The 20,929-nt window shown below is 38.5% G+C and overlaps 1 protein-coding gene across 3 annotated transcripts in view, besides 2 other annotated features; it reads left to right on the plus strand.

Moving 5' to 3' along the window:
• Positions 1–20,929, plus strand: part of ZFAND3 (zinc finger AN1-type containing 3) — a 334,898-nt gene that overhangs the window by 96,590 nt on the left and 217,379 nt on the right. For all 3 annotated transcript variants that reach the window (NM_021943.3, XM_011514790.3, NM_001410904.1), the window contains exon 2: positions 13,643–13,683. In NM_021943.3, the coding sequence (NP_068762.1) occupies positions 13,643–13,683 (41 nt within the window). The remainder of the gene's footprint in view (positions 1–13,642; positions 13,684–20,929) is intronic.
• Positions 8,225–8,294: a silencer, noted in NCBI's record as "silent region_17159". NCBI's record gives its function as "represses an Ori minimal core promoter by ATAC-STARR-seq in GM12878 lymphoblastoid cells {active_cell/tissue: GM12878}" and the evidence as "EXISTENCE:reporter gene assay evidence [ECO:0000049][PMID:35858748]".
• Positions 12,321–12,822: an enhancer, noted in NCBI's record as "H3K4me1 hESC enhancer chr6:37896413-37896914 (GRCh37/hg19 assembly coordinates)". NCBI's record gives its function as "activates a minimal SCP1, AML or CMV promoter by ChIP-STARR-seq in naive H9 embryonic stem cells {active_cell/tissue: H9 hESC(naive)}" and the evidence as "EXISTENCE:reporter gene assay evidence [ECO:0000049][PMID:30033119]".

The following is a 20,929-nucleotide window of genomic DNA, read 5'->3' on the forward strand; positions in this document are numbered from 1 at the left end:
TGTAAAAAGTACAGTACCTCCAAAGTGTGGTTAACTGTAGTGCTATAAAACCAGGTATGCCAGCCGGGCACGGTGGCTCATGCCTGTAATCCCAGCACTTTGAGAGGCCAAGGCAGGCAGATCACGAGGTCAGGAGATCAAGACCATGCAGGCTAACACGGTGAAACGCTGTCTCTACTAAAAATAAAAAAAAATTAGCTGGGCGTGGTGGCACGTGCCTGTAATCCCAGCTACTCAGGAGGCTGAGGCAGGAGAATTGCTTGAACCCTGGAGGCAGAGGTTGCAGTGAGCTGAGATTGCGCCACTGTACTCTAGCCTGGTGACAGAGCAAGACTCTGTCTCGAAAAAAGAAAAAAGTAAGGTATGCCATGTATAATTACAGTGGTCTCCCTTTATCCATGTTTTCACATTTCGCAGTTTCTGGTACCTGCAGTCAACCATGTTGTGAAAGTATTAAATGGAAAGCTCCTGAAATAAACATAAGTTTTAAGTTGCACACCATTCTGAATAGCATCATGACATCTCATGCTGTTCTGCTCTGTCCTGCCCTGGTGGCGAATCATCCCCTTCTCCAGTATAACCACACTATGTATACACTACCTGCCTGTTAGTAGCTGTCCTGGTGATCAGGTAGACTGTCATGGTATCTGTCATGGTATCTCAGTGCTTGTGTTTAAGTAATCCTATTTTACTTAATAATGGCCCCAAAGCACAAACATAGTGATGCTGACATAGTGTTAAAATTGTTCTGTTAATTATTGTTGTTAATCTTTTACTGTGTCGGATTTATAAATTTGGAAATCTGTTTGTATAGGAAGAACACAGTATATATAGAGTTCAGTACTATCCATGATTTCAGGCTTCTGCTGGGAGTCTTGAAATGTATCCCTCAAGGATAATGGGGGACTACTGTATATCATTGTGTGATCATAGATTTATAGAATGTTAGCGGTCATTGGTCTCAGTAGCTCACTTTATTTTAATGGGTGACAAAACCCAATTGCGACGTCCCACCTTCAAGCTAAGCCCTTTCTTCCCAAGTCATTGCTCTTAACACTACCCCTGTAGCAACTGTTTTTACCCTGAAGACAGAATTATAAAGTTTACAACAGTGGGAGGAAATATGTGTTGGACATTAGAAATTTATGATTACAAAGGCAATGAAATATGATACACAAAAAGCAATAGAATCTCTGGTGATTGTAGAACAGGAATACTTTAAGTCTTTTTGAGGCAGAGATAGAAAAGATGTACTCTTGAGTTCCCTTCTGTTTTTTTGCTGGGGGTTATAACCAGATAATTTTCTCTTGCAAACTCTGGTCAATCTTGTATTTTGTGATGAATAATTAAAATAGGAAATGAATATTTTGAACTTTGAGCTTCACTTGTCAGTGAGCATTGGACTGGGAATAAGGAAAGCAGTTTATTTTCTGCTGTCACCTTTCAACCATTCCTTATCTAGTTTCGTCGTAGGTGTGGTATCCTGACTCTTTCACAAACTCCCTGAGAATGGCCTAGTAGATTGATGTAAGGTATAAAATGTTTGGAATTTGAACAAATGAAAGATGTTGAAGTACAAATGACATTTAAAAAATATGTCAGTGACATTATGTATACATTAAAATTTTTCTTATATGTGCATATTGCTAGATATTGCTTTCTCCTCCTCCATATTTTGTAGATGTTCTGTCGGTATTTTTATCTTACCTGAATGACATGAACAGAAATGTTGCATCGTGTAGAAGTCTTTTTTTGTTTTGTTTTGTTTTTGTTTTTTTGATATGGAGTCTCGCTCTGTTGCCCAGGCTGGAGTGCAGTGGTGTGATCTCGGCTCACTGCAAGCTCTGCCTCACGGGTTCACGTCATTCTCTTGCCTCAGCCTCGCAAGTAGCTGGGACTACAGGCACCCACCACCACGCTGGCTAATTTTTTGTATTTTTAGTAGAGATGGGGTTTCACCATATTAGCCAGGATGGTCTCGATCTCCTGACCTTGTGATCCACCTGCCTCAGCCTCCCAAAGTGCGAGGATTACAGGCGTGAGCCACTGCGCCTGGCCTGTGTAGATGTCTTTTCCTGGATATCCTCCAGCTTCTAGAAGTACCTTGTGCTTTTCTTTCTCAGCCATACAGCTTCCTTGCTAGCCTGTTTAACCTTGTAGTTTGAACCCTTGTAACTCTATTATCTCCCAGGTTTATGTCTCATTTTCTGACAAGGAAAGATCTAATAATAATACTTTAGGTTACTTTTCATCTTTCATTAAAATTATCATGCCTTTGATTTAATTTACCATAAATATGGATAAATCAGAGCCTCTCTCTGTAAGCCTGAATTATCTTAATGAGAGTGGATGAGTGGATGAAGCAAAAATATTTGGCACTTGGGTAGGACAGGTGAATATTTAATTATTTTGACACACTTTGGGAAAAAGTACTCTGAGCTCCATAAATGTTGTTGTTCTCCCAACCCCACCTATTTTCAAAAGCAACATTGTTAGCCAGAAGAAAAATAAGGTCAGATAATACCTTATTGTTATCTCTCTTAAATTTGTCATTCTCAGTTTAATTCTCAGATACTTGCTCTTGTACTAGATGGTTGGGAAGTTTTCTGTGTGTTTTCAAAACATGAAAAATGCCTTTTTTTTTTTTTTTTTTTTGAGACGGAGTCTCGCTCTGTTGCCCAGGCTGGAGTGCAGTGGCGCAATCTTGGCTCACTGCAACCTCCGACTCTCTGGTTCAGGTGATTCTCCTGCCTCAGCCTCCCGAGTAGCTGGGATTACAGGCATGCGCTACCACGCCCAGCTAATTTTTGTATTTTTAGTAGAGACGGGGTTTCACCATGTTGGCCAGGGTGGTCTGAATCTCCTCACCTCATGATCTGCCTTGGCCTCCCAAAGTGCTGGGATTACAGGCGTGAGCCACCGCGCCGGGCTGAGAGATCTTATATATATGTTCACCCATTTTGTCCTGATGGTAACTGCACATGCATATTTAAAGGTCATGGATTATATAAAATTATATGTAATTTGTATATGCTCGTAATATAAATTTTAAAATGTTACTTTTCCTAGTTATGAACAGATTTAAATTCTCCATGTCTGCACAGACATCAGACTTCAATATTTACCAAATTATTATTTAATATTTACCAAGCCGTTTTAAAAGTTATTGACCATGGTTTTTCAGAGAATATCACATTCATTTTTTTTTTTAGCCTCCAAGTTGTTTGAGATAAAGCACTTTAAAATCTGTAAATGTTGCAGTCACTGGAAAATTTATCCCAAGCCACAAGAATTCATTCATGTAACATTAGGAGAGTTGTCATCATCTTGACGTCATTTATGATCTTCCTCACATTTCAAGGCTGTTACTGCATTGCTTTCTAGAAGATCTTCAGAGGCCTTCTTCAATGGCAGCTACTATTTGTAATCACTCTCCAGAAATAAGTATTAAATCTGTGTTTAAAACCGAATCCTCCCCTTTTTATAAAACTAGTTTGTTGTTGTAACCATGACAAAGTATCCAATATTAGAGTTGGCTTGACATCCTTCCATACCTCAGTGTCCCTGACTAGTGATGAGAACTTCACTGTCTCAGCCATTTCACAGACTAACTGGAGAGATGCCTCTGGGACTGGGACTCTACATTCCTCTTTTGAAATCCCAAACACCATTCCTTTCCCTGGGCATGACTGCATACTTGGATTTCTCTTTCTCACTTCCAGGTTTTTTTTGAAGCTTTTTTTTTTTTTTTTTTTTTGGCCCTTGTTAGTATTTAGTATAAAATAATTGGTGTCTGCCTCAAAAGTAAGGATTTAATTGTAAAGCAATTCCTTCTTTCTGAAAGATAACTTTAGGGAAGAAAACCTTATCTTATGTTTGGGGATATATAGTGGGACAGTTGCAATCATTGTATATATTGGGTGTGTTAGAGTTGATAGCCTCATTAAGTTTCTCTTATGTGGAAAAATTATTTGGCATTTTAATTCACTTCATTGTTTTTTTTTTTCTCCTTTTCTACAGGGGCTTTCATTCATATATTTTAATTTTTCTTGTTCTTCTTTTGACTAGTTTATTGATGGCCATGCCTCATCTTGTCTGTAATTGTTAGATGGTGCTGGACTAAACTTTCAGTAATATATACAGGGCCACAGATGATAATGGGACTAGTTTTACATCTATACACTATAACTTTTAGTGCAAGTACTTGAAACACACAAAAATCGAGGCATTTTGCTCTGCTGTCCTTGAATTTGGGCATAAAATGCTAAAACCACTGCTAATTACAGTAACCCACTTGGAATCTAAATTGTTACATTAAAATTAGTTTTTAAAGTGAGCAGGATCCATATTGCTACATTATAGAAACTAATACCCTTATTAACAGCTCCATCTTCTCCATTGTAATATTTCCTTAAAAAGAAAATTTGCAGACATGGTCTGAATGATTTAGAGTGATGTGTAACAGTTTGGACAGGCTGGTTGCACCCCTGAAAGCCTCCTTTGTCATTGCCAGCTAGGATGTCATCTGTTTGAACTGGTCTTTTTCGTGTTTGCCTAGGGTGAGTAGAGAGTGGTGATTTAGTAGAGCTGTTGGCTGCTTCCTGGCTGCTGTAGGAAGTTAGTTTTTCTGGCTATATGTGTATGAGGCGGGAAGCAGATTGTTAGGAGTCTTTAATATTCTAATTTTACCTCTGAGAAAACTGGGATGACTTAGAGTGTAGTAGGTATTGTGGTTTGTTTTTCCCTTCCTTTCCTTTACCACCCCACTCCTCGCCGCCTTCTCCTTCTCTTTGTCCTCTTACCCATCCCTCCCCTTTCCTCCTTTGTCTGGATTATTAGAAGAGGTTGAATTCAGAAATGTGACTAATTTTTACAGATTGTGTTTTTACAGACTAGTTTTTAGAAATGTGACAGTTTTTACAGATTGACTCCCTTCACTGAAGAAGGAACTTTCTTTGTAGTCTAGATTTTTTTAGTTTTATGATACATGTCTAGTGTAGAGAAGTTCAGGGACCATAGGACTGGAAGAGCTTGGTATACTTACGTGCTGGTACTGTTTTTTTTTATACTTTTCTCTATTTTTCTTGTGCCCTAGGTTTTTCCTTCCAGTTGGGTTAAAAAAAAAAAGTTGTTGAGGAACATTGATATGGTGAAAGAGTTGTTTTTTATTTCCATATTTATATTAAAATAGTTTTTTGCATGTGTATGTTTCTCTGAGTGGGGAGAGATAGTAGTCTTGTGTATGTGTCAGGAAAATATTATAAGATGTTTCCAGAATTCCCAGAAATTAGGACTGTTACTAGAATTCCCCAAGATGAATTAGCATGAAGGCTAATTTGTCATTAAAACATTGATATCCTTCAAAATTGAAAAAAAAATTTAGAAGAAACATTTAACAACATAATCATTTCTGCCATCAAGTAAAAATTAAAAAGTACAACAGTGTTGGCCAGGTGCAGTGGCTCATACCTGTAATCGCAGCACTTTGGGTGGCTGAGGCAGGTAGATTGCTTGAGCTCACTAGTCAGAGACCTGCCTGGGCAACATGGCAAAACCCCATCTCTGCAAAAAAAAAAAAAAAACAAACCCACACAAAAATTAGCTGAGTGTGGTGGCATGTACCTGTAGTCCCAGTTACTTTGGAGGCTAAGGTGGGAGGATGGCTTGTGCCCAGGAGGCGGAGGTCACAGTGAGCCGAGATCACACCACTGCACTCCAGCCTGGGCAATAGAGCCAGGCCTTGTCTCATAAATGAAATATAAAATATAAAATAAAATAAAATAAAACGTTGTTGGCAAAGATGTATTCAAAATAGTATGTAGAACTTACCTGGAAGGTAATTTTGCAATATTTACCAAAATATACTTTTTCATCTAGTAAGGTCTCCTTCTCAGAATCAGTCTTAAAGCCATTCAAATACAGATTTATGATTAAAGATTTAAGTCCAAAAATGCTCATTATAGCAATATTTATAATAGGAAAAATTGGGGAAAAACAATTATACATCCAACAGTAGTAAGAGTGTGACTACATTATAGTATTAGTATGTAATGGATTGTCACAGAGCAACACACATGTTTTTGAAGAATATTTAAGGCGTGATAAATATTAAATGTAAATGTAAATTGAAAAAATGATATCTGTAGATTTTCATTATGCATTTCTTTATGAAATTTTTGTATATACACAAAAGAAAATAGTCATGCATTGCTTCATGACGGGGACATATTCTGAGAAATGTGCTGTTAGTCGGTTTCATTGTGGAAACAAATGTTGAACATCATAGAGTGTCCTTACACAAACCTAGGTGGTATAGCCTACTCCACACCTACACTATATGGTATAGCCTGTTGCTCCTAGGCTACAAACCTGTAGAACATGTTACTATATTGAATACTGTAGGCAGTTGTATTTGTGTATCTAAACATAGAAAAGGTGTGGTAAAAATGTGGCATGAAAGATAAAAAAGTGTACACCTGTCCCAGGCACTTACCATGAATGGAGCTTACAAGACTGGAAATTGCTCTGGGTGAGTCAGTGAATGAGTAGTGAGTGAATGTGAGGGTCCTAGGACATTATGTTACTGTGGATGTTATAAGCACTGTACACTTAGGCTACACTAAGTTTATTTTTAAAATTTTCTTTAATAATAAATTAGCTTTAGCTTACTATAGCTTTTTTACCTTATAAACTTTAAAAAAATTTTAAACTGATGACTCTTTTGTAATCACACTTAGCTTAAAACACAAACACATTGTATAGTTACACAGAAATATTTTCATTATATCCTTATTCTATAAGTTTTCTTTATTGATTGATTGACAGAGTCTCACTCTGTTGCCTAGGCTGGACTCAAAAGTCCTGGGCTTAAGTGATCCTTCCTTCTCAGCATCCTGAGTAGCTGGGACTACAGGTGCATGCCACCAGGCCTGGCACCTTTATTTAAAAAATATTTTATTTTTTGCTTTTAAAGCTTTTTTGTTAGGCCCCAGCACACAGACATGCACACAATTATCCTAGGCCTGCACAGAGTCAGGAGCATCACTGTCTTCTGCTTCCACATCTTTTCCCACTGGAAGGTCTTCAGGGGTAGTAATTGGTATGGAGCTGTCATCTCCATGATAACAATGCCTTCTTCTGGATACCTCCTGAAAGAGCTGCCTAAGGCTGCTTTACAGTTAACAACTACTTCTTCCTCTTCTTTTTTTAGTAAGTAGAAGAATTACAGTCTAAAATAATGATATAAAGTATAGTAAATACACAAACCAATCACATAGATGTTTATCATTTTTTATCAAGTATTATGTACTATACATAACTGTATGTGCTAGACTTTTATATGACTGACAGCACAGTTGGTTTGTTTACTGTGTTGCTCTAACACTACAGCTATGATGCCATTAGGTGACAGGAAGTTTTTGGCTGCATAATAATCTTATGGGACTTCTGTTGTGTATGTGAACTGTCATTGATGAAAGTATCATTATGCAGTGCATGACTATATGTAATGTGTATATATGGTATGAAGCATAATAAAATGAACACCTGTGAACATACCATACAACAACCAATACTGTAAATATAATAAATTCTGAATTATAGATATCTATCTAAAAAAGTATTTCTTATTTTGGGGAATTATAAATGAGTTTTAGTTTTTACTTTTTGTTTTTTTTTCTACATTCTGTTCAAGGGGTATGTATTTTCAAAACCAGAACATACTATTAAACATTATTAGAAAAAGAAAAAAATTTAAGCAGATTTCTCACTCCGTGTCATTAGAAAGAAACTTTTAAAAGTGTCTGCCACCTGTTATATTCTGAGTGACAGATCATGGCCAGATACATAGGATGACGTTATCTACCAGCCATAGGTAATGCATTGTGACAGAGCTCCAGAAAGATGACAGGCTGACAGCCACAGGAATTGTGGAGAACCTGTCTTCTAGCTGGTGTTTGACCTCTACAAAATACATTTCAAATATCTACTTAAGTGCTTTTTTTTTTTTTTTTTTAATGGTTCAGGCCTTCAAAAGAGATTTTATTTCTTCATTTAACAAGCATTTATTGGGTACCTGTTAAATACCAACCAAGAGTGACCAAAGGAGTCTTTGCTCTTATGGCACTTACATTCTAGTGGTGAAAGATAGCAGGCAAACAGGCATGTGGTGAGATATCAAAGAATGATGTGAAAGAAGAAAACAGGAAGAGGAACTGATTTAAATTGGGTGGTCAGGCCACAGGAGTTGTAGCTCACACCTGTAATCCCAGCATTTTGGGAGGCTGAGGTGGGAGGATCACCTGAGCCCAGGAGTTTGAGATCAGCCTGGGCAACAAAGTAAGACACCATCTTTACAAAAAATAATGGACTGATGTGTGCCTAGAGTCTTATCTGCTTGGGAGGCTATAGTGGGAGGATGGCTTGAGCCTAGGAGGTCAAGGCTGCAGTGAGCTATGATTGGGCACTCTGGTCTGGGCAACAGAATGAGACCCAGTCTCAAAAAAACAAAAAATAAAAAAATAAATTGGGTTGTTGAGGGAAGGCCAGTGAGGAGGTTTGAACTAGGATATGAGCAACAAGAAAGAGACAGCATTACAGTGATTTGGGGGTACAGGGAACAGCATGGGCATGAGCCCTACAGCACAGTCAGAGAACAGAGAAAAGGCAAGCATGGTTGAAATGTGGTGAATGAGGGGGCAGAATGATAAGAGAGCAAGAGGGGAAGTAGGCATAGTCAGATCACAAGGAGACTTCCAGACTTTTTTTTTTAAAAACTTTCTCCAGGTAAAAAGTTTGGATTTTATACTCAATAGGAAATTGTTGGATAGTGTTAAGCAAGAAAATAACACGCTCCAACTTGTTTTAAAAGATGACCATAGCTGCTATGTGGAAAAATCATTGTATAGGGTCAAGAATGGGAACGAGAAGACCAATAAAAAGCTATTTACAGTGGCCTAGGTGAGAGTTAATGGTGGCCATCATAGAAGCATTAAGGAAGGAGAGGAATACATAGATTTGAGATCTATTTGTAAGTAGAACTAATGCATCTTGCTGAGTGTTGTATCTGTAAGACTACAGGAAGGACGGGAATCAAAAATGGTTTCTGCTGGACGCGGTGGCTCATGCCTGTAATCCCAGCACTTTGGGAGGCCGAGGTGGGCGGATCACCTGAGGTCAGGAGTTTGAGAGCAGCCTGGCCAACATGGTGAAAACCTGTCTCTACTAAAAAATAGAAAAATTAGCCGGGCGTGGTGGCGGGCGCCTGTAATCCCAGCTACCTGGGAGGCTGAGGCCGGAGAATCGCTTGAACCCAGGAGGCGGAGGTTGCAGTGAGCTGAGATCATGCTCCTGCACTCCAGCCTGGGCAACAGAGCTACACTCCATCTCAAAAAAAAAAAAAAAAGGTTTCTAGATTTTTGATGTGAGCAACTGGGAAGAAGGTGTTTCCCATTTATATGAGTGGAAAAGATGGGTCAGGCAAATTTGTGGGAAATACTGAGAATTCTAATTTGAAATACTAAGTTTGAGTCAAACGTTGAGATGTCAAATAGGCAGTTAGATATGTGAGTTTGGAGCAAGGTAAAGAGATTTGGGATTGAAGGTAAACATTTTTGCATCTTTCGTGTATAGATACAGTATTTTAAAACCATGAAAGTGTGGGAGATCACTACCAAATGAAAAGTAGAGGTAATGAAGACTGAGTTTCTGGACCTCCAGTTAAGGGTCTTTGCAGGGGAGGAGCAGTAGCAAAGGTGGCTAAATGGGAGCAGTTGTGGTGGAAGAGGGTTGTTTGATCTGGGATTTGAGTGACATGAAGGTATGTGAAGAGTGTTCCGGAAAGAAGGATGGATCTAGCTGAATGCTACTGAGAGGGAATATGCTATGATCAGATACATAACCCTTGTATATTAGTTTTCTGAGGCTATTGTAACAAATTACCACAAAGTTGGTGACAGAATAATAGAAATTTATTTTCTCAAAGTTCTGGAGACTAGAAGTCCAAGATCTGGGAGGGCTTCCTTCCCTCCAAGGTGGCTCTGAGGGAGAATCCATTCTTCACCTCTTCCAGCTTCTGGGGGCTGCCCCAGCATTCCTGGGCTTGTAACCCTGTTACTCCAGCTTCTGCCTCCATCTTCATGTGGCTGTTTACTTTGGGTGTCTTTCTGAATTCCCTTTGCTACTCCCTTGCAAAAATGTTCTTTGCCTCTCTCTCTTGTGATGTCATTTAGGGTTCACCTGGATAATCCAGGGTAATCTCATCTCAAAATCATTAATTAATTTGGAAAGGACCCTCCACCCCCTGAGTAAGGTAACTTCGGGATTAAGACTTGATATCTTTTGGTAGCCATTATTCAACCTACTACCCCTTGGTTTTAGAAACGTGGTACCCATTGGAGAGCTCAATAAGAGTAGTTTCACTGCTCCAGTGAAACTTTACCTTTCATGCTTACTGTCAAAAAGAGAGCTCTGTTGTCTGTTCCAAGACCATGCAAGTTGATTACACTGCTTTTTGTTAGGTAGCGAGTAGTTGTATGCCTGTGATTAGCTTCAAGTTTCCCATGTTCAACATGAGAAAGGATCAAAGTTCCCGGAAGTCTCTGCCAGTTCTTTTGGATTCAGTGTTCTTGACCCATGTGATCCAAGCTGGCATTGTTTAGAATGACCATTATTTCGGTAGCCAAAGTCTGGTTTATTTTAGATTTAAAACATCTCTGTTTTGAGTAATAATATCAGTAGTTATATTATTTCTTTTATAACCTGATTGACAACCATGTTGCTGAAAAATTTCTATCCAGAATGTGGAATGGATGTCATTTAGGTAATACATAGGTATGGTAGGCATTTTAAATACATAAATTATCTGAAGAGAGATCAAGGGACTCTGAGAAAAAGGCCATTTTGCCATTTTTTTAAACCAGGTTTCTGAAACTCAGATGTTAAAACTGGCACACTGGTTGCCAAGTTATCCTCTGAAGGCTTTCCATGATTCCTGCTGGGCAATTGGGAGTAGCAGAAGTTATATGAGTTATATCTGGCTTTTTGTGGCATTGCGTGGACAAGAGATAGTGACCGCATCAGAAGGGCGCCTGATTCTCTGGCAGGGAATTCTGGCCCCTTCAGAGAAGTTGAGTGGAGATGAGAGGGGAGGGGACAATCCCAATATTCCAACAATAGAGAATGTTCTGCAAACTACAGATGTGTGTATACTGCATCCATACTAGTCATCTCTTTAGGATGGAGAGGCGCCTCTAGTTCAAGTTCAGTTAGTTAAAACAGGCATGTAGGATTTTCTTCATTCTCACTTCTTCCTTGCGTTGGAACTGAAATGACTGGGAATCTTGGGTTGTTTTCCTATATGCCTGCAGGGTCAGGGAGAGCAGAAGTTGTGCTTCTTCTAGATGAGAAGCTTTACTTTCTCAGGGAACTGACTTGATTTCCATAGACATTCTCACAAACCACCAGAGTGCTGGTTCTGGACTGGTATATGCCCCTCAGCTTCTATATTGGGGCAGAGGCCGAAGTTTGGCATGATGAATAGAATACAGGTGTTGGAATTAGACCAGATTAATTCACTTACTAGTTCTGTAATCTTCGGCAAGTTACATACCCTCTTGGGACCTCTGTTTTCTCAATGGTAAAATGGGGTTGAAGGTATCTGGTATTGTGCCTGCCACATTATAGGCATGTAATAAATGTTAGATGCTACCATTAACACATCTCTTTATCTTTTTACTCATCTTATTCACTTGTTGATACTCAATTTTCCTCATTGCTGTTGTGTTTATATTAAGCAGGATTCTAAAGGAATATCTACTTGTTGACAGCATCTTTTTTGGGAAAGAAATAATGACCCCCTTTCCCCCATCTTGTGACAATTGCTGTTAGGTCTTTGGTTCCAGCACATGGGGCAAACAATCAGCATCAGAGAATACTTCCTGAGGGAGGCTTGCTTTAATTGTAAAACATAGTAAAGAGGGCAAAAGAAGGTTGGCTTATTCTATTTTTAGGGGCAGTTCTGGTCAAAGGCTCAAATCTTGGGAATGGAGTTGCTGAGGAATGAAGTTTTAAATAGGTCAGCTTGCCTAACGTAGAGCACTCCAGGAGGTCTTTGGAAGGAAGAGCTGTTAAGAATGAGTCCGCTTGGGAGAGGATCAGGAAGGGAAGCAGCGGTGAGATGAATGTAACAGAAAAGTCATTATTATTTATTATTACTATTTTTTGGAGACAGAGTCTTGCTCTGTTGCCCAGGCTGGAGTGCAGTGGTGTGATCTCAGCTCACTGCAACCTCCGCTTCCTGGGTTCAAGCGATTCTTGTGTCTCAGCCTCCCAAGTAGCTACAGACGTGTGCCACCTCTCCCAGCTAATTTTTTCTATTTTTAGTAGACATGGGGTTTTGTCATGTTGCCCAGGCTGGTCTTGAACTCCTGAGCTCAGGCATTCCGCCCACCCCTCAGCCTTCTGTAGTGTTAGGATAACAGGCGTGAGCCACCGTGCCTGGCCAGAAAAGTCATTATTGATTGCCCACCATGTAGTCCCTAGGGTGCTGTGCTGTCAGGTGCTGTGTTGTGAACAAAGGATGTTGGGTTGGCCTTTGGAGATAGCTTACACCCAAGGTCAGATATTTTTCTGTAGTTCCTAGCTTTGTGACCTAGAACAGTCTGCCCACCTATGTAATGGGGATGAGACTGTATGTCTTTGATTTCTAAGACCCCCTTCTAAGTTGAATAATGCCTTGGCAGAGGAAGGGGTAACATAGTGTTCCATTATTGGAACACTAAGCATGTGGGAATTATTTATATCCTGCTCAAGGTCATTGCCCTGGTCTCACTGCAAAAATTCAAAAAATTCCAACCTCTGGCATAAACGGGTTAAATTATTCATCGCTTGTAACCAATTCTAAGGTATTTCCTTGTTACAGAAATGCTAATGTGATTTTTTTAAAAGTGCGTTTTAAAAGCAAAACAATATGGTAATACCCATCTTAGTGATGTTGGGACGATTAATAAGATAATGTATGCGAAATGCCCATCCAAGTTAGTATTCAGTGAATTGTAGCTATTATTAATGGATGAAAGGACATGAAAACTAATTTGATTGGCGTATCTGAAGAAAGAATTTTAAACAAGAAGGTCATAATGTGATTAGGATCTGAAATAGGAAAGATCAAAGTTCAGCTAATGTTATAGAGATAAATGACTGTGTATATGAGGAGAAAGTTTTACCCATTTACGAAGTATTTGTGATAACTTCATATATTTTTCTGTATGAAAAGAGGGAATGTGGTAATCATGTGGTTTAAATTGACTCCCATACCATCTTCTGGGCATTTTATAATGTTTCTGAACTTGCTGCTATATAAGCTGCTAATATACGCAATAAATAAAAGCAAACATTGGCTAATTTACAGGTAAAAAATAAAAATAAAAACCAAGTGTTTATATTTTTGTTTTTTTTTTTTAATTTTTATTTTGTTGAGGGGGGAGTGGTGGCTAGCTAGGGACTTGTTATTAATTTATCAGTTTATTAGTTCAGTTGCCTGACCAGAAAGTTCTTTGCCTACGTTTCTGACATCTTATGTTTTGATTAGAGTGATATGGAGTTTTTAGCTCTTCTTTCTTTCTTTTCTTTTTGTTTGCCCCAGGTCCAGCAAGACTATGAATCTCTGTTCCAAATGCTTTGCTGGTAAGTGCAGAAAAAGGGTTTTTTAATTTACTTTCATTTTTCTTTCTTTTTTTTTTTTTGGTTCTTTTTAAGACTAAATCATTTGACCCTAAAGGATTTATGCATGGGGTTTTGTTTTCTTAGCTTGTGTGAGAAAGCAGTTTCACCTTACCAAGGTGCTTCATATATTTGCCTAGGACGGTTGAAACAGTTTTCCTTGAATGAAATCCTATCTCCTATGTACTTGCACCAAACAAACTTTCCTTGGTTTACTGTTGTTGGTATACAGTAGAACTGTAAAAAATGCGTGCTCATCTTGACTTGAATGATTATTGGTTAATGTTGCTCTATCAATGAGAATGTAACAGAATATTTTCATGTTGGAGTCAGGAAGAGAATCAAGCTGAGTTAGCCCATCATCAGATCCATCATAGAGGCTGCCATGGTGTCTCACGCCTATAATCCCAGCACTTTGGGAGGCAGAGACAGGAGGATTGCTTGAGGCCAGGAGTTTGAGACCAGCCTGGGCAACATAGTGAGACCTTGTCTCTATAAAAACAAAAAGCCTCCTGCAGATCCCTCATTCAAATCACCTCGGGTAAGTCACGTAATCTCTTTGGACCTTGGATTCATCATTATAAAATGAAGGACTTGGGCTTGACATGTGCCAAGGTCCTTTTCTAGCCCCAGAGGTAATTGGTTAACTTCTGGAATTATGACTCCTTCATGAAGTTGAAACTTTTAGGTCTTTTTATTTTTACTTTTTAAAAAACTTTCTATCTAGCGATCCTATATAAATAAGTCTTTGCTAATTAGGATATGTTTAACTTTCCTTCTTTATTCATTTTGTCAAAGGTAAACAAAGCTGCATACTAGCTAAAGTTCTAAGGACAGGTTTTAGTCAGTAATACACTTTTGCAATAGGGAAGAGAGTCCAGTATGAAATGAAGTCAATGTTGATTTGCAGAGATGACTGGGAGTTTTAAAGGGAGAATGGCAGGGGACTTGGCAGGGTGGATAAACGGAATCTGTAGACTCAAAGAAGTGAAGAATTTAAAAAGATTGGTAAAATATGGTGATTAGGCCAGCTGTGCCTGTTAGCTGACACTGTGACTGGGGAATAGATACCCTATTTTTCCTGATGGTTACATTTTTAAAGGAATGGCTTTCAGGTCCTTGAGAAAGACACTCCTGAGTTGTAGGAGTACAGCTCAAAGGGACAGAGGAAGGATTCACAGTTGTAAGCCCTTTTTAGTAAATGATCTAAGAGGATAGTTAGGGCCTATCTTCAGATGCTGGCTAGAACAAACAGTAGATTCTTTGGCAGCCTTGAGCTTTAAGAGGCAGACAATTTGAGAGAGGCTAGGGTCATCCTAGGGAGGTAACCTTGAGCTGTTAGAAATGTTAGTATTTAAAATTAGCTGGATGTGGTGGTGTGCACCTGTAGTCCCAGCTACTCCGGAGGCTGAGGCAGGAGAATTGCTTGAACCTGGGAGGCAGAGGTGCAGTGAGCTGAGATTGCGCCACTGCACTCCATCCTGGTAACAGAGTGAGACTCCGTCTCAAAAAAAAAAAAACAAAAAAAAAACCAACCAAACAAAAAAAAGAAATGTTAGTGTGTGTAAGTCTTTTAATGTGAAAGGAGGGAGTGGACCAAATCATTTGTTTTGAGAGTCTGTAGTTTTTAAAGGTCCAGGTTGAGGCCTGGTCCAGAAGAGGGCTCAGAGGAGGCTGGCTAGATTTTTATTAAAGAGATTTTTTTTGTTGTTGTTAATTTTAATCTATTCATTATGCTATTTGGGCAAGGAAGTAATCATGGTGTAAGCTTTAGACCGTTACATTTGTGCCTAAACTAGGGGTTAGATGGGAAAGAATTGGGGAAGCTGACAGCTTTTATAGGTTCAAAATTTGGAATTTGTCAGATACTTAGGTTTTTAAAAGAAAAGAAATATTGGTGGGTTTTTATTCAGCTTTTAGCAGTATTTGTGCCATGTTAAAGGACTGTATTCAGGCCGGGCGCAGTGGCTCACGCCTATAATCCCAGCACTTTGGGAGGCCGAGGTGGGTGGACCACGAGGTCTGGAGAGCGAGACCATCCTGGCCAACATGGCGAAACCCCGTCTCTACTAAAAACACAAAAATTAGCTGGGTGTGGTGGCCCGTGCCTGTAATCCCAGCTACTCGGGAGGCTGAGGCGGGAGAATCGCTTGAACCTAGGAGGCGGAGTTTGCAGTGAGCCGAGATCACGCCACTGCACTCCAGCCAGAACGAGACTCTGTCTCAAAAAAAAAAAAATAAATAAATAAAAGGACTGTATTCTGCTGCTTACCTTATGTATCTACAATTACAGATATGAAGAAATGCTTCTTCACTGATGAAAGGTTAACTTTATAGTGAAGACGAAAGTAGCAGTGAGACAAAATGTATACAGGTTGAGAACCCCAAATCCCAAATCTGAAATGCTCCAAAGTGCAAATGTTCCAAAATCTGAGAAAAACAAATCCCAACACTTCTGGTCTCAAGCATTTTGAATTAGGGGTACTCAACCTGTATTAGATTATATATTTGTCCCCACATGGAGACCCCATTGTAATTTAGTAAAGTATGGCTTTGGGAGAAGGCCAGACACCTTTGAATAATAAGGTGGTTCACATCAAATACTCCTGAGGAACTATCTTGTGCCCCTAAATGAATACAAAGTTAAAAAAATTTTAACTATGAAGCTAGAGTTCAGCCATGGGCTTTGTGTTTCTTTGGACTTGTTACAGTTTTACTTTCTGTGTTTATAATTATCTGTCTCGTGATCTGTGTCTATTTACATTTTATACAGCCTTGCCATTTTTGCTTTTATAAAAATATTAGGACATTTTCAAGTATCTAAAGAAAATATTCGCTTCTCTCTATATTTTTTACCTACACACTACTGCTTTCTCCAGTTGCATTTGCGTGGCATGACTAGTTAATATCCTGTCTGCTGAAACAGAATTTTATGTACCTTTAGAAATTCAAAAGAAAAGAGATCATTGAACTTTAAAAATACATTTTTGGATGTCATCTCAGTATGAACATAAGGAGAGTATAGTGAATGCAGTATTACAGAAGAGCCATGAGTTTTACAAGACAACATAAAGATTATTTTGGCCAAAGCCACTGTGATCTTAAAAGACTCTTTTTAAAGTATATTGTAAAATGTACAGTGTACTTTAAAAGATGGAAAAATCACTTTTTAAATAGTTATTGTTTGCCACTAGGTTAAACATTTTCTTTTCAAGATTCCTTTTCAAAATCTATGTGGTGAAAAAATTAGTTTGTTATAACTTGTTTACATAAAATTGAATGAAATGGGAAAAACATCTTTAAAGTCTTACCGAGAGAATACGTTGTAGGTTAGGAACTAGGGGTGTGTGTGTTTACTTGGAGAACTGTTTTGCTGCTGGTGAAATATTCTGCTAAGTGGTGAGCACACACCTGACCCAATAGCCATCATTACTTAAGCTGTTTCTCCTTTATAAAATATTCTTGGGATGTTTGAATTTAGAGGAAAGGAATAAGAAAGGAGAAATGAGTATATGCAGAGTGACAGTTGCTAAAAGCCATTGAAATGTTAGTTGCTGGTAAACTATATACCAAATTATAATGCTTCTGTGTATTGTTAGAATGAGAAATGTTTGTATCAGACCTTTGCATGTATGTGGAAGAGGGCCCAACCTGGCTGGGCTGGATTTGCTAAAGACTCGAAGCTCAACCAAAATTCCTCTCTTTGAAATGAGAGAGGTTTTTTTGTTTGTTTGTTTGTTTGTTTTTTAAACTTTTTGACAACTATCTTATCATTAACCCTGGTTTGGCCTCTGTTACCTTTAAAGGCTAAAATCATTTAAGACTGTTTAAAGGATCTCTCTCTCTCATTTTTTTTTTTTTTTTTTTTTGAGACGGAGTTTCGCCCTTGTTGCCCAGGCTGGAGTGCAGTGGCGCGATCTCTGCTTACCGCAACCTCCGCCTCCCGGGTTCAAGTGATTGTCCCGCCTCAGCCTCCCAAGTAGCTGGGATTACAGGCGTGCGCCACCACGCCTGGCTAATTTTTGTGTTTTTAGTAGAGACAGAGTTTCTCCATGTTGGTCACAGTGGCCTTGAACTCCTGAGCTCAGGTGATCCGCCCACCTTGGCCTCCCAAAGTGCTGGGATTACAGGTGTAAGCCACTGCGCCCGGCCCTTTTTTTTTTTTGAGACGGAATCTGGCTCTGTAGCCCTGGCTGGAGTGCAGTGGTGCCATCTCAGCTCACTGCAGCCTCTGCCTCCCGGGTTCAAGCGATTCCAAAGGACTTTTCTTCACAAAGACATTTAAGTATACTTCTTTCTCAGTCTTAAGAGAAAGGCCTTGACCTAGAAACCTTTATCATCCAATATTTTCTATGCCAGGATAACTACGACACTTACAGTTAAGTATTCTGGGGAAGTACCAGGAAGTGATTGACTCAAGTATTAGGATTTGAGGTAAAGTGGACTTAAATTGCTCATCTACATTCTCTTTATCTGAGGTCATTTAGTCTATTTAAAAAAAAAAAAAAAAAAAAGTCCAGACCCGGTGGCTCACGCCTGTAATCCCAGGACTTTGGGAGGCCCCAGGTGGGTGGATGGATCATTTGAGGTCAGGAGTTCGAGACTAGCCTAACCAACATGGTGAAACCCTGTCTCTACTAAAAATACAAAAAAATTAGCTGAGTGTAGTGGTGCATGCCTGTAGTCCCAGCTACTCGGGAGGCTGAGGCAGGAGAATCACTTGAACCCGGTGGGTGGAGGTTGCAGTGAGCTGAGATTGTGCCACTGCATTCCAGCCTGGGCAACAGAGTGAGACTCTGTCTCAAAAAAAAAAAAAAAAAAAAAAAAAAGCAAAAGTTAATCTTACCATACTATATTCTCTCCATTCCTGTAAGAATTCCTATTTGTTATTTTTCTACCTTCCCCGTCAGTCCCCCTTTCACATATTCTGTATTTTCTTTTCTCAAATTACAATTCAGTACATTTGTTTGGAAATGTGGATCTATATCTCTCAAGTCTAAGACTATTGTGTAGGTAGAGAAGCCTGAAATTCCTGGAGTTTGCATAAGGACCTTTTAGTTGATATATAATTCTTCCCAGTCAAAAGTGTTGATTATTTTTATATTATTGCTAAAGAAAGGTTTTGCTTAACAGCTTTGCATTTTGAAGTTGTGGAGACTTTCTAAACTATTGAAAAGGATGGTATGTAAGCACCCTGGGACATGAGTTATCAATTGATTTTGCCACAAATCTTTCCAATTATCAGAGCTGGTCTGAGGATCTCTTATGGCCTAATTTTGGCTTTTCTTACCCCCTTGATAATATTCTACCTGTCACACTGTCCTTTCATTAAATATTTTTATATTGTTTTATATATGATTTTACTTAAATAAGTAAATGAATATAAAAAGCGAGAAAATTTTATGACATAGTTATGGCAAATTAACATTTATTGGTTGAAATACTACCTCTTAATGCAGTTTTTCAAACTGGGTATTGTCACTCATTAGTGGGTAGACAATTTAATGGGTCATGATTAGTATTTAAAAAATTCTGAGTAGAATAGAAAATATCAGTGTATTGCACATAGTAAAGTTATTTTGTGAAACCTTTGTTTGACTTGCATTGAGTTGAAAATAATGTGTAATGGGTTATAATGTAAATATGTGTATATTACTATTATGATTTTAAGTTTGAAACCCAGTGAACTGCAGGAGTATGGCTTTGGAAAATCTTGGAATCTAATTTGCTTTGTAAAATAGGGAATATTTCATTTGTGTCTTCAGGCAAGAGGTTAATAGTTGATTTCTTGTGATCTTTGTCAGTTCTGAGCTGTTGAGTAGTTTAGAAATGAAGCTTAAACTAGACCCGATAGCCTACTACAGTGTTAAAATACATATGAAAAGTCAAGCATAGAGTCTAATGAATATTCCTGCCTCTTACAAAGGTAGAAATGATACTGCCTATGGTATTTTTTTTTGTTTGAGTGCAAATCCAATTCATGAATTTGTGCATTTTAGTTGACCAGTGTTTAATATTTAGGAATAGTTAGTACCTAATTCATGATGACCTCTTGTTCTAGCATACTGAAGGCCAGCTATCATTAAAGCAGTGCTTTTCACAGAATGGTTTTGCTGACCTCCTAAATAGAAGTGTGGATGGCAGAAGCATCAAAGAGGATGATCACAAGTGGGGAAGGCAGAAATTTTAAAAGAACTGACTGAAGTAACTCCTCTACTAATGTGACACCATCTCTATCCCCCACAAACCCTTGGAAATACTAGTTTTGGGAGAAGAGAGGAGTATGGTGACTAGAAAGTAGCTATAACCTGTTGATCATTGTATACTTTATAAGGCAGTGAGTCAGAAGATATGTTTAAGAAATGGAAGGTTGTTGGAGTAGCTCTGATGACAGATGCTTATCATAAGGCAAACTTAATATATGTTCCACAGTGTTCAGAATACCACTTGGTCGGTGGACTTTTAAATGTGTGCATACTTAATTTTTAATAAACCGTAGACATGGTATATTTAAACATACTGTTTCATTTAAGACTAACTTTTAAGAAATTTGCTATCACGTGGTTCACATATGATGTACAAGTGTATAGTTGCATGAGATAAAGCTGGAAGATGACATGAAAAATTTAATTGTGGTAGTCTCAGAGTAAGAGTAATTGGGGAGCTTTAAATTTTAATTTTGTCTGTGTTTTCAGATTTAAGTATTAATGTAATTGCACAAATTACAAATGTTTAAAAAGTGAAGTGAATTTATACAATCTAGAAGTGGTTTGTTTCTTTCTGGAATGAGCAAAATAAAATTAGCTATCGCCTGCAGCATTGGGAATCTAAGTGTTGACATCTAAGGTGAGTGATATAACAATGCTGGGCGCAGGGTGAAATGGTAGATAAGCCAAAATGCTAACATTTTTCTTGAAAGTGACTTGAGTTTCATGATAGTTCCAGAAGAGGATAACAAATTCCCATTTCATACCAAGTAAATTAAAATATTTCCTTATGAACTTGCAACTTAGTGGTTGCAGTTACATACTAATCTCTTTCCTGCTTTCATTTCCTGTTAGAATACCAGAGTAAAAGTGGTCTGATTCTAGTCACTTTTGAAAAGCAAAGAGTTGTAGGTTACAGCTGAATTTTGAGGCTTTACAGTAAGAGAAACAGAGTGAGTCTGACAAATTTTAAGCTCATATATTTTCCTTTTAGAAATGTAGGA

Source organism: Homo sapiens, chromosome 6 (assembly GCF_000001405.40).
Source record: "Homo sapiens chromosome 6, GRCh38.p14 Primary Assembly".
Taxonomy (NCBI): Eukaryota; Metazoa; Chordata; class Mammalia; order Primates; family Hominidae; genus Homo; species Homo sapiens.